We start from the raw sequence: 14627 nt of genomic DNA on the forward strand, positions 1-14627 counted from the left end.
AATTAATATATGTGGATCTTGGGCTGTGCAAGGGTACAGTCCTTCCTGTCAAGGGGAACATCTTGGAAGCAGTCTGCTTGGTGCCTCACTGAACGTCTGACTGAAGTTTCTACTCTTTAAATGTGTCTCCATCATGACTTTAATTGACATAGAAGCCCTATAAATTCTTCAGAAGTTCTGGTACACTATTAGATGTGTATGTTTCTTATTTTTCATTGGAAAATGAAGTTTTAAAGGTCATCTTAGGTGTGTTTGGGCCTTTTTTTCCCAACTTGGCATGGGTGAAAAATGCAGAAAGTTCCCCATCGTATGAGAGCAGATGTTGGGATTGGAGGTAGAGGCACATGACTTAAGTTTGTCTAGGACTTATGGCACAGTCTTACTCTGGTGTGATAGCCCATCACTGTCTAAGCTGTTAAGTCAGGGCTGCTCTCAAACAGAATAAAGTAACAGTTTAGTCTTGTGAATATATTTTATTTTATTTTTGAGACAGAGTCCCACACTATCCAGGCTGGAGTGCAGTGGTACGATCTTGGCTCACTGCACCTTCCACCTCCTGGGTTCAAGCAATTCTCCTGCCTCAGCCTCCTGAGTAGCTGGGATTACAGGCATGCGCTACCACGCTCAGCTAATTTTTGTATTTTTAGTAGAGATGGGGTTTCACCATGTTGTCCAGGCTGGTCTCCAACTCCTAGCCTCAGGTCATCTGCCCACCTCGGCCTCCAAAAGTGCTGGGATTACAGGAGTGAGCCACCACGCCTGGCCTTGTTATTATATTTTAAAGGTTTGATTTTTCCCCCCCCCTCTTCTAATTTGGAAATATTTCTGGAAAATGATTAAAACCAGGTTACAAACTTCAAACAGAGAACAGCCCATGCTTCATCATCAGGTGTTGCCAGACTTTCCATCTCCATGGACGTCCTCCTGGCTTTTGTTGAGATGTCTCTAAGTCCTTTGTTCAGTCTTTACACATTCTTGGCTTTGAAAATAGTTTGACAGTGTGCTTCCGGGATTGTTTTTCTGCAGTTACTTAAATATTTAATTGGGTTTCAGTTTCAGGAACCTTGACTACTAACAAACTAGGCAGTTTTTTAAAGCGCTACCATTCCTTATCCTCAGATGACACAAAACTTTCTTGACCTAATTAAAGGGGTTGCATGAGAGCGGAGTTTTTTTCCTTCTCAAATCAATATATTTATTTAAAGACATTGTAAATTGTATGCATATATTTACACGTACATGTTATCAGAGCTCTTATACTGCTTTTTATTTATAGGTGTCAATTGGAAAATAAGATTATTCTAAAATTTCCCTTTCTCTAGACTTTGTGCTTACTGAAAAATACCATTTTGGGCCAGGTGTGCTGGCTCACACTTGTAATCCTAGCACTTTGGGAGGCCGAGGTGGGAGGATTGCTTGAGCTCAGGAATTTGAAACCAGCCTGGGTAACATATTTAAAAAAAAATAAAAAGAAAATGCCATATTTATTGCTGTGGAACAAAAACTTCAAAGAAAAAGCATGGATTTTATTAAAATATGGTGGAAATAGGCTTTCCTTGTTAGCTCTGTAAATGAGGTAATAGAATATCTGGTCAGGGCAGTTCAGCTTTACCTTAAAACTAAGACCCATCTCACCCTGTGGGGCAGGGAGGTGGAAGCTACTTAAATATGTCTTGCTGGACTCCAGCTCCCTGGTGCAAGAGGCCAGCTGAGTGTTGGAAAAGGCTGGTATGTGTGTCTTGGTCTGGTAGGAAGTAGAAGGAAAGGACTAGTAAAGCCTAAGGGGTAGTTAAGGACTAAAGACCTAAGGGACTTCAGGCTCTAATTGGCCAGAAAAAAGAAATACCTGAGAAGGGTGTCTTAGTGGCTGTTCTGCACACATTGAGACTGCTACCGTATTCCTATTCTTTCCTGAATGAGAAGAACATGAATTAAATGATTCTGAACTTACATACTTCTTTTTTTGGTGGGCCAGGGACAGAGTCCTGTTCTGTCGCCCAGTCTGGAGTGCAGGGGCGCGATCTCAGCTCACCACAACCTCTGCCTCCCGGGTTCAAGCAATTCTCCCTGCCTCAGCCTCCTAAGTAGCTGGGATTACAGGTGTCTGCCACCATGCCCGGCTAATTTTTGTATATTTTTAGTAGAGATGGGGTTTTGCCATATTGTCCAGGCTGGTCTCAAACTCCTGACCTCAAGTGATCTGCTCTCCTCGGCTTCCCAAAGTCCTGGGATTACAGGCATGAGCCACCGCGCCCGGCCCCAAACTTCCATACTTCTAGTCGGTGATCTGCTTTCCAGACACAATAAAAACACACAAACACTCAAAATAAGTGAAACTCTTTCATAAGCTCACTTGAGCAACAAACATGCTACATATGGAAGGCTTATTTAGAGAAGATGTCTCAAGGAAAAAAGTGGGTAGTGAAATAATTTTGTTTTAAACCACTATAAGACTGCAAAGTAATTTGAATTATGAGGACCCTTTGTGCTGGCCACTGGAACTGGGGATAGAGTGGTCAACAACAAAGTCCCTGCCTCTGCGGAGCTTTCACTGAAGTGGGAAAGACAAGACTACAAACATACACATCACGTCACTCAGCGTTAAGTGTATGAAGAAAAATAGAATGGGGTGAAGGTATAGAGTAGGTTGGAGGGTGACCAGCAAAGTTGTCTCTGCAGAAGTGGCAGGGCCTGAATGAAGTGGTGGGCCATGGGAAATACAGGGCGGGATTTCTGTGCAGTAGGTTCAGCAAGAAGCCCAAAGCTTCTGAGTGGGCGCGTGCTTAGTGTGTTCGAGAACTAGACTGGCAGGGAGGCCAGAGTAGCTGGAAGGGGACAAGTGGAGGAGAAGAGGAGGGTGGAGCCAACCCTGTAGGGACCTGTATGCCAGCGTTAGGACTTTGTATTAAAAATCGCTTTTTTGTTTCTGCTTGGTAACCCCCTCTGCCCCTGAACCACTACCTTCTTTAAACAGAGAAAACCTTTAAAAATCTACATTTGGGCATCTACAGACTACAGTTGTTCCACATGCCAATGCTGAATAGTAAGAATTCATTTTGTGGAGAACAGGCTATACCTGAGGAGGTACTTTGCTATGTACTAAGAACACCAAATCAGTGAATTTGTAGATTCCCCAAAAACTTTTGGTCTCCACATTCACAGTCAACTCATCTTTATTCAAATCAGGGACAAACCAAAAGATGAAATCAAGAGTAGAGCCCTTCGTGTCTGAAGGCAAACATCTTCCATCCTTTGACCAACCCTAGTGTGACTCACTGCCTGGCATCACCGCTCTTGTGCTGCCAGAACTCATAAGCTGAAATGGCTTCAGACCTTTCTGATCCCCTGAGAGGAATGACATTACTTTTTTAGCCACTATTGTATTCCCCAGTGCCTAGAACAGTATCTGGCACGTAACTGGCCTGCACTTGATGTTCATTGAACCTCATTGAATCGAGCAAAGCACTAAGCTCATGCACGAGTCTTTAAGCTTCCTAGACCTTCACTCAGCATCTATCCTATTTATACAGCTCATCTGGTTTCTAAAACCATAGCAAAGAAGAGAAATTGTAACTGGCCAGGTACGTTGACAATAGTGTGGATTTAGATCGGGCAGCTTGGCAGGGCTTCCTCCAAAACGGGAAAAGCCATAAGAATTTGAAAGCAGAAGATGGCCTGAAGATATTGCTGGCCATAGATGTTCATAGTTGTGTTAGTCTGTTTTGACTGCTATAATAAAAGAACATAGACTGGCTTATCAACAACACAGGTTTACTTCTCACAGTTCTGGAGACTGGGAAGTCCAAGATGAAGGCATCAGCAGATTTGGTGTCTAGCAAGGGTCCTTTTCCTCTTAGACAGTCTTCTTACTGTAACCTTACATGGCAGAAGGGGTGAAGGATCTCTCTGGGGCCTCTCTTTTTTGTTGTTTGTTTTTGTTTTTGTTTTGAGACAGTCTCGCTCTGTCACCCAGGCTGGAGTGCAGTGGCGCAATCTCGGCTCACTGCAACCTCCGCCTCCCAGGTTCACACCATTCTCCTGTCTGGGGCCTCTTTTATGGGCACTTATCCCATTCGTAATCCATCCTCAGGACCTAATCACTTCCAAAGACACCACCTTCAAATAAACTTAACTACTAGCAATTTGCTTTAATTCATAAACATGGCACAAGTCACTTGAATCAAAGAATTAAAACTTAATTAGGACTAGAACACACATTCTCAACATAGGTGATGTCACTCCCAAGGGGGTTAAATTTCCTAGGAGGGTAAAGATATCTTACTGTTTTTATCTATAAAGAGCCCAGATATGCATGTGGTATGTAACAGTATATCTGTGGTATTAGGATTGTATGTGTGGGCCGGGCACAGTGGCTCATGCCTATAATCCCAGTACTTTGGGAAGCCAGGATAAGCAGATTGCTTGAGTTCAGGAGTTCACAACCAGCCTGGGAAGCATGGTGAAACCCCATCTCTACAAAAAAAAAAAAAAAAAATTTAAAGCCGGTTGTGGTGGCATGCATCTGTAGTCCCAGCTACTCAGTAGGCTGAGGTGGGAGGTTTACTTGAGCCTGGGAAGTTGAGGCTGTAGTGAGCTGTGATCATGCCACTGCACTCCAGCCTGGACAGCAGAGCAAAATCCTGTCTCAAAAAAATAAAAAAGACTGTATTGGGATAGTAATAATGAAAAAAAGTATTGAGAAACACTGGGCTAGAATGATAAGGCAGAGACCTATTTCCTGCCCTCATGGAGCCTACATTCTAACAAATGGAACTGTTTTTTAAATTTTTAAATCAGAACATACATATTTTTGGGGTACAGTGACAATTTAACACATTCATACAATTTGTAAAGATTAAATTAGTGTCATTGGGATATTCATCACCTTATTTGTCTTTATGCTAGAAATATTCTAAATATTCTAGCCATTTTAAAATGTAAAATAGATTATTGTGAACTATAGTCACCCTATGGATTTATCAAACAGTGAGTCTTACTCCATCAACTGTGTGTTTGTATCCATTAATTCGCCTCTCTTCATTCCCTCCTCCAAACTACCTTTCCTGGTCTCTGGTAACTGCCAGTCCACTATCTTCTGAGATCCAATTTTTTACCTCCCACATACGAGTCAGTACATGCAATATTTGTCTTTCTGTGCCTGGCTTAGTTTACTGAACATAATGACCTCCAGTTCCATCCATGTTGCTACAAATGACAGGATTTCATTCTTTTTATGGCTGAGTAATATTCCATTGTGTGTATATGCCACATTTTCTTTATCCATTCATCCATAAATAGGCACTTAAGTTGATTCTATATTTTGGCCATTGTGAAGAGGAAACTGGTTTTTAAAGTCATGCATGACCTGGCCCTCACTACCCCATGACTTTCCAGCCACTCCCCACATCTCATTCTACCCTCATCTCTCTGACCACTATGCTAGTCTATTACTGTTCTGATTATTCACTGCCTCTTACTGTGGGAGGATTTTACTTCCTGTCCCACTGATATCAGCCTTGGCCACATGACCTGACTTGCTTTGACTCACCAGCCAAATGTTAGTGGTGAAATATTAGTGGAACAGTTCCCTTCCTCAGCAGAAGCTTTAAGAGTCATCTGTGGCTTTGACACCTAACTTGTTCCTCCTCCATGAGTTTAGCGTGTCCCAGATAGGGGCTGTCCTTCAGCCTAGGCCCTGGAATGAAGCATGTCCACAGTGGACATGTGGCTGGAATGAAAAGTAAATCTTTGCTTTTGTGGATTCCTGAAATTAGGAGGAATAGCTAACAATAGCTGACTAGTGTGTCCAACAGTGCACTAACCAAGTTTTCTCCCTGCCTCCAGACCTTCCCTTCTTGGCTTTTGTCCCCTCCTAATGTCAGCATAGATGCCACTTGGTGAAATCAGAACTCCATCTTTCCCTGCAAAAAGAAAAAAAAATAGTAGCCTAGGTGTTCGTAGGCAGAATGATGCTCCCCCACAAAGATGTGAGTGCCCTTCTTTGCCCTCGTCACTGAAACCTGTAAATATGTCATCTTACAAGGCAAAGGGGGTGTTGTCCATACGGCTAACGATCACAAAATATGGAGATTATCCTGAATTACCCCACAGGGATCCTTAAAAGATGGAAAAGGAAGCAGAAGAATCAGAGACGATGTGACAAGGGAAGCAGAGGTTGCAGCAATGCCATTGTTGGCTTTGAAGGTGGAGGAAGGAAGGGGCTCTGAGCTGCAGACTGCAGGAGGCCTCTAGAAGCTGAAAAAGATGAGGAAACAGATTCTCCCCTAAAGCCTTCACACGAAATGCAGCCCTGCGACACCTTGACTTTAGCCCAGTGAGACCCACTCCAGACTTACGCTCTCTAGAACTGCAAGATAATAAATTCGTGTTGTTTTAAGCCACTAAGTTTGTGGTAATTTGTTACAGCAGCTGTACAATATGGGCGTGGCATCCCTCCCTGGTGAGGAGCTCCCACAGCACCCTCATCACAGTCCTTGTGCTTCACAGGGCTGCCTCTTCACTTTCCACCCTGCCAGCAGGACTCCAAGCTTGACATTTCAACTCTATCACAGTTGTCTCCTCAGAGCCCAGAATAGTGCAAGGAACTTAGTAAGTACTCAGTGCAGATTTGTCAAATGAACAATTTTCAAAACCAGGACTAAATTAGAGCTGAATGCTACTATTTTCTGACTTGATGGCTTAAGTAGCTGTGGTCCTTAGAAGCCACTTACCGTCTCTGACCCTCAATTTCCTTGTTGTTAAAAATGGAGAAAATGCCACCATCACAAAGAAGTCCCCCACAGGGAAAAAGAGCATTTTCTAAGCTGTAAAGTGCATTCCAATTTGAGTTTTATTGGATGGCATGTTTATAAAGTCAAATGAAGCTGAGATAGTGAAAAACGGCCCTGCTAGACAATCAACCATGTGTCCAGCAGAATATAAACAATACTCAGAACAAGACATTGACAAGGCCAGTCTTGGGAGCACAAAAATTACTAAACATTCCCTTCTACTAATAAGCATTGCCCCTTTCTGAACAACTGCTGCTGCTTTGCCAATAACAACTCAAGCCCCCATGTTAACCCTCCTAGATAGCAATGATTGAGATACTCAGTCACGAAATTGCTCCTGCTTCTCGACAACATGCATCCCAGAACTGGCCCCCATTACTTATTCTCCCTCACAATGTTCCAAAACAAGCCAAAACCCTTTAAGAAACCCCTGTCAGCTGGGCTCAGCAGCTCACGCCTATAATCCCAGCTCTTTGGGAGGCAGAGATAGGAGGATCACTTGAGTCCTGGAGTTCCAGACCAGCCTAGGCAATACAGTGAGACCATGTCTCTACAAAAAATTTAAAAATTAGCCTAGTGTGGTGGTGCACACCTATAGTCTTAGCTACTTGGGAGGCTGAGGTGGGAGGATCACTTGAGCTCAGGAGTTCGAGATTACAGTGACCTATGGCCACTGCACTCCAACCTGGGCAACAGAGGGAGACCCTATCTCTTAAGAAAAAAAAAAAAAAGACCCCTATCATCTCCCGTTACTGAGATATTCTTGGGTACACAGTCTCCCTTGCTGCAGCAAGTCTAATAAACCTAATTCCTAATTTTGGTAGTTTTGTTTTGTTTATTTGACTACAAGTGTGGTCTTCAGTCAGCTCTGATAGAAGCTCCTCATATTCAGTTCTATAATTTTACAGACAAGCAGACAGATCCAAAGACCCATCAAGGTCCTCCAATTAGCAGTAGAAATGAGATCAAGCATATGTTTTGTTTGTTTTCACATAGCCACGGGTTTGGCCTATTTGGTTACTAAACATGTCAGTGTATCAAATCTGTCTGGCACAGAATCTTCTATTTCTCATCTTGACTAGGACCCTCCAGTAGCTTTTAGGCAGGGAGAAAACCTGCCATATTTTTTCAAATAATGCTTAGTTCTGGGACAAAGCCAGATACGTTCTAATGAGAGTTAATTGTTCTTTATCAGCGTGAGAGGAAGCAGGTGTGTGTTCCCCGCTGACATCTGATTTATTTCTTTGAGATCTTGGAACAGACACTTAATCAGCCACCCAAGCAGGAAATTGCTTTTCTGCAGAAGGTAAACAAGAGGGTTTTCTTTATTTTTGGCCATAAAATTGGACCCAAAAAGCATTTCAAATCACTTGGAGTTTTTTTTTCTTCTGATTATTTGAATTATATTCCTTAATTGTGGGAAATACAGAAAAGAAGAAAATATTCACCCATAGACCCAACACTCCAGACTAATAAGTTGTCCCATTTGGCCTGTTTCCTTCCAGTCTTTTTTTTTTTTTTTTTTTTTTTTTCCAATTGTGAATGTGTATGTATGTAGGAAGGTCTGGAAGTGGAGGGAGAGCAGCTTTTAGTTGAAGCCATACTGAATATATGATTTTCATTTTCAATTGCATTTTTAAATTACATAACACATGAATACATGCTTACTGCAAAGATCCCAAACAATACCATATGCAGAGCAGAAAGTTCTAGTGCTCTTCAGCACTGCACCTTCTTCCCATTTTCCAGTGATAACTACCGTTAAATTAGGAAAAACGGGGATAAATACCAGGGTACATTACTTAGTACTCACAAGTACTCAGTAAGTAAGTGCTTAGCAGTGGGTAAGGGCAAGTGTGGCAGTTGGTAAGTGGATTCTTCCCATCCCATCAGTGGTGAACAGACCCCTACTTGAACTCCAGTAGTCTCCTGCCTCCTGGTCATGCCTTCATGTAATTCCCTCCTTATGAGTACACATGGGACCTGTGACTTGCTTCTAACCAACAGAATATGGCAAATGTGAGGGGATGTCACTCCTAAGACTGGGTTACATTCTACGGCAAAGGTGATAAGCTGTCAGGCTCATGGCTATATTATGTTGTAGAGGATTACATCTTCCCTGGCTGGACCCTTCCTGTTGGCTTGATGAAGTAAGCAGTCGTGTCGGGGAGCCCATGTGGCAAAAGACTATGGGCAGCATGTAGGACCTTAGGCAGCCTCCAGCAGACAGCCAGCAGAAAGCCGGGCCCTCAATAATACAAGTGCAAGGAAAGGAATTCTGCCAGCAACCTGAATGAACTTGGAAGCAGATTCTTCCCCAGTTGAGTCTCTAGATGAGACCACAGGCCTGGCTGACATCTTAGTTGTGGCCTTGTGAAACCAAAAATAGGGACCTAGTTAAACTACGCCCAGATTCTTCACCCACAGCAATTGTGAGATAATAAGTGTGTGGTGTTTTAAGCAAAGCTGCTGAACTTGAGGTAATTTGTTACATGGTGGGAGGAAACTACGTTTTCTATGCATTTCCATCCTGCAGTGGTCAGGACTCCTCAGGTTTTAAGTAGGAAATACACAACTGACACTGGCAGGAAACCCAGTTTCACCTAACTTCAGGTATGTTTACATTCAGTGGCTCAAACACTGCAGACTTTCTCCTTTTAGCTCTTTGTTGTGTCAGCTTAATTCACAGGCAGCTACTTCCCAAAGATGACCACATCATTTAGTTCACATCCAGTCAGCTTGGTGGCCTCAGGGGAAAAGTATGCTGCCTTTTCCCAGTATGTCCAGCAAAAAGCCCCGGGCTTGGTGTCTGTTGGCTCTGGTTGGACTAACTTAAGACATGTGCCTACCAGTCCCTGGGGACAGGTGGATGTGGTTCATATGCCCTATCTAGACCTCATGAGCCAAAAAGGGGAGAGCTGAGCACTAAAAGAAAATAAGGGGGCCGGGAGCAGTGGCTCACACCTGTTATCCAAGCACTCTGGGAGGTGGAGGCAGGCAGATCATCTGAGGTTGGGAGTTCGAGACCAGCCTGACCAACATGGAGAAACCCCGTCTCTACTAAAAATACAAAAAAAAAAAATTAGCCAGGCGTGGTGGGGCATTCCTGTAATCCCAGTTACTCAGGAGGCTGAGGCAGGAGAATCACTTGAACCCAGGAGGTGGAGGTTGCGGTGAGCTGCGATCATGCCACTGCTCTCCAGCCTGGGCAACAAGAGCGAAACTCCATCTCAAAAAAAAAAAGAAGAAACAAAATAAGGGTGCTGCCGGGTGGAGAAGGTGGAACAGAAGCTGAATTAAAACAGCAGCCATCCAGATCATGGATATGTATCTTCATATTGCATACAATGGAATATGGAATTGCATATTCATTTGGATACATATCCATGTATCCATTGTTGATGTAACAATATAACAGTATTACAGTAAACACCTCCCATAAACTTTCTAACATGTTTATGAAAGTAAACATGAAGCCCAGGTGGAGTGGCTCAGGCCTGCAATCCCAACACGTTGGGAGACCAAGGCAGGTGGATCGCTTGAGCCCAGGAGTTCAAGACCAACCTGGGCAAAATGTTGAAACCTTGTCTCTACAAAAAAAAAAAGTTAAAAAATTAACTGAGCATGGTGGCACACATCTGTAGTACCAGCTACTCAGGAGGCTGAGGTGGGAGTATTCTTTGAGCCTGGGAGGCAGACATTGCAATGAGCTGAGATTGTATCACTGTACTCCAGCTTGGGTGACAGCAAAACTCTGTCTCAAAAGAAAAAAAAATTACAGACAAGTTGAAAAAATAACATAATGAATATCTATATGCCCTTCACTTAGACTTCATTGTTAACATTTTGCCCCAGCTGTTCTTTTTTTTTCTGAATAACTTAAGATGAATTATAGACCTCATGACACTTTATCTCAGGATATTCCAGCTTGGACCTAAGAATAAAAGTAGCCTCCTGTATAACAACAAAATCTTTAACACATCCAACAAATCTAACATTGTGCAATGATATTATATATGGTCCATATTTAAATTTTTCTAACAATCCAAAAAATGTTTTTGTGAGCTATTTTTAATTTTTTTTCTGATCCAAGATCCAACCCAAGATTGCATTGGATTATCATTCTCTTCTGTCTCCTTTATCTAGAACAGCTCTCTTTCTTTCCTTTTTTGGTCCTTTATGTGTTGATATTTTGAAGAGTATGAGCCACTTATAACATAAGAATTTGTTTATTTCTTTGTGATTAGGTTCAAGTTCAACACTTTGGAAAGAATACTATATAGGTGATGTTGAATCACTATGTCACTTCAAGAGGCAGGCAATGTCAGGGATGCTAACTTTGATCATTTGGTTAAAATGGTTTCTTCTAGTTCTCTCCATTATAAAGTTGTATTTTCCCCTTTTTTGTCAATAAATGTGTGACACCTTGAGACCTTGCAAATTTCCTATTCCCTAACAAACTTTCAGCAATTTTAGAATGCATTGGTGATCCCTGTCTGAATTATTTTAGATGCAAAATGGTGATTTTCTAATTCTATCATCATTCCTTCTATTGTTAGTTGGCTATTTTCTCTCTCTCTCTACTCCCCCTTTTTAAAAATACTATCACGGCCGGGCGCAGTGGCTCATGCCTGTAATCCCAGCACTTTGGGAGGCCAAGGCGGGCAGATCACCTGAGGTCGGGAGTTTGCAACCAGCCTGACCAACATGGAGAAACCCCATCTCTACTAAAACTACAAAATTAGCCAGCATGGTGGTGCATGCCTGTAATCCCAGCTACTCAGGAGGCTGAGGCAGGAGAATCGCTTGAACCCGGGAGGCAGAGGTTGCAGTGAACCGAGATCGCACCATTGCACTCTAGCCTGGGCAACAAGAGTGAAACTCTATCTCAAAAAAAAATAAAAATAGGCGGAGCCAAGATGGGTGAATAGGAACAGCTCCAGTCTACAGCTCCCAGCGTGAGCGACATGGAAGACGGGTGATTTCTGCATTTCCAACTGAGGACCGGGTTCATCTCACTGGGGAGTGTCGGAAAGTGGGTGCAAGACAGTGGGTGCAGCACACCAAGCGTGAGTCGAAGCAGGGTGAGGCATCACCTCACCCGGGAAGCGCAAGGGGTCAGGGAATTCCCTTTCCTAGTCAAAGAAAGGGGTGACAGACTGCACCTGGAAAATCGGGTCACTCCCACCCTAATACTGCGCTTTTCCAATGGTCTTCGCAAATGGCACACCAGGAGATTATATCCCATGCCTGGCTCGAAGGGTCCTACACCCACGGAGCCCTGCTCATTGCTAGCACAGCAGTCTGAGATCAAACTGCAAGGTGGCAGCAAGGCTGGGGGAGGGGGGCCCGCCATTGCCGAGGCTTGAGTAAGTAAACAAAGCAGCCAGGAAGCTGGAACTGGGTGGAGCCCACCGCAGCTCAAGAAGGCCTGCCTACCTCTGTAGACTCCACCTCTGGGGGCAGGGCACAGCCAAACAAAAGGCAGCAGAATCCTCTGCAGACTTAAATGTCCCTGTCTGACAGCCTTGAAGACAGTAGTGGCTCCCCCAGCACGCAGCTGGACATCTGAGAACGGACAGACTGCCTCCTCAAGTGGGTCCCTGACCCCCAAGTAGCCTAACTGGGAGGCACCCCCCAGTAGGGGCAGACAGATACCTCACACGACCGGGTACTCCTCTGAGACAAAACTTCCAGAGGAACAATCAGGCAGCAACATTTGCTATTCATCAATATCCACTGTTCTGCAGCCTCAGCTGCTGATACCCAGGCAAACAGGGTCTGGAGTGGACCTCCAGCAAACTCCAACAGACCTGCAGCTGAGGGTCCTGACTGTTAGAAAGGACATCCACACCAAAACCCCATCTGTACGTCACCATCATCAAACACCAAAGGCAGATAAAACCACAAAGATGGGGAAAAAACAGAGCAAAAAAACTGGAAACGCTAAAAATCAGAGCACCTCTCCTCCTCCAAAGGACCACAGCTCCTCACCAGCAATGGAACAAAGCTGGACAGAGAATGACTTTGACGAGTTGAGAGAAGAAGGCTTCAGATGATCAAACTACTCCGAGCTAAAGGAGGAAGTTCGAACCCATGGCAAAGAAGTTAAAAACTGTGAAAAAAAAATTAGACGAACTGCTAACTAGAATAACGAACGCAGAGAAATCCTTAAAGGACCTGATGGAGCTGAAAACCAAGGCACGAGAACTACCTGACGAATGCACAAGCCTCAGTAGCCGATTCAATCAACTGGAAGAAAGGGTATCAGTGATGGAAGATGAAATGAATGAAATGAAGCGAGAAGAGAAGTTTAGAGAAAAAAGAATAAAAAGAAACGAACAAAGCCTCCAAGAATATGGGACTACATGAAAAGACCAAATCTACGTCTGATTGGTGTACCTGAAAGTGACAGGAGAATGGAACCAAGTTGGAAAACACTCTGCAGGATATTATCCAGGAGAACTTCCCCAATCTAGCAAGGCAGGCCAACATTCAAATTCAGGAAACACAGAGAACGCCACAAAGATACTCCTCGAGAAGAGCAACTCCAAGACACATAGTTGTCAGATTCACAAAGTTGAAATGAAGGAAAAAATGTTAAGGGCAGCCAGAGACAAAGGTCGGGTTACCTGCAAAGGGAAGCCCATCAGACTAACAGCTGATCTCTCGGCAGAAACTCTACAAGCCAGAAGAGAGTGGGGGTCAATATTCAAAATTCTTAAAGAAAAGAATTTTCAACCCAGAATTTCATATCCAGCCAAACTAAGCTTCATAAGTGAAGGAGAAATAAAATACTTTACAGACAAGCAAATGCTGAGAGATTTTGTTACCACCAGGCCTGCCCTAAAAGAGCTCCTGAAGGAAGCACTAAATATGGAAAGCAACAACCGGTACCAGCCACTGCAAAAACATGCCAAATTGTAAAGACCATCGAGGCTAGGAAGAAACTGCATCAACTAACGAGCAAAATAACCAGCTAACATCATAATGACAGGATCAAATTCACACATAACAATATTAACCTTAAATGTAAATGGGCTAAATGCTCCAATTAAAAGACACAGACTGGCAAATTGGATAAAGAATCAGGACCCATCAGTGTGCTGTACTCAGGAAACCCATCTCACGTGCAGAGACACACATAGGCTCAAAATAAAGGGATGGAGGAAGATCTACCAAGCAAATGGAAAACAGAAAAAGGCAGGGGTTGCAATCCTAGTCGCTGATAAAACAGACTTTAAACCAACAAAGATCAAAAGGGACAAAGAAGGCCATTACATAATGGTAAAGGGATCAATTCAACAAGAAGAGCTAACTATCCTAAATATATATGCACCCAATACAGGAGCACCCAGATTCATAAAGCAAGTCCTTAGAGACCTACAAAGAGACTTAGACTCCCACACAATAATAATGGGAGACTTTAACACCCCACTGTCAACATTAGACAGATCAACGAGACAGAAAGTTAACACAGATATCCAGGAATTGAACTCAGCTCTGCACCAAGCGGACCTAATAGACATCTACAGAACTCTCCACCCCAAATCAACAGAATATACATTCTTCTCAGCACCACACCACACTTATTCCAAAATTGACCACATAGTTGGAAGTAAAGCACTCCTCAGCAAATGTAAAAGAACAGAAATTATAACAAACTGTCTCTCAGACCACAGTGCAATCAAACTAGAACTCAGGATTAAGAAACTCACTCAAAACCGCTCAACTACATGGAACCTGAACAACCTGCACCTGAATGACTACTGGGTACATAACGAAATGAAGGCGGAAATAAAGATGTTCTTTGAAACCAAAGAGAACAAAGACACA

At 43.3% G+C, this 14627-nt stretch overlaps 2 annotated features.

Annotated features, from left to right (window-relative positions):
- Positions 5114 to 6313: an enhancer, noted in NCBI's record as "P300/CBP strongly-dependent group 1 enhancer chr14:93312588-93313787 (GRCh37/hg19 assembly coordinates)". NCBI's record gives its function as "activates an origin of replication core promoter dependent on BRD2, BRD4, P300/CBP, MED14 and CDK7 cofactors, with strong dependence on P300/CBP, by STARR-seq in HCT116 cells {active_cell/tissue: HCT116}" and the evidence as "EXISTENCE:reporter gene assay evidence [ECO:0000049][PMID:35650434]".
- Positions 5541 to 5590: an enhancer, noted in NCBI's record as "active region_8946". NCBI's record gives its function as "activates an Ori minimal core promoter by ATAC-STARR-seq in GM12878 lymphoblastoid cells {active_cell/tissue: GM12878}" and the evidence as "EXISTENCE:reporter gene assay evidence [ECO:0000049][PMID:35858748]".

This window comes from Homo sapiens, chromosome 14 (genome assembly GCF_000001405.40).
Source record: "Homo sapiens chromosome 14, GRCh38.p14 Primary Assembly".
NCBI lineage: Eukaryota > Metazoa > Chordata > Mammalia > Primates > Hominidae > Homo > Homo sapiens.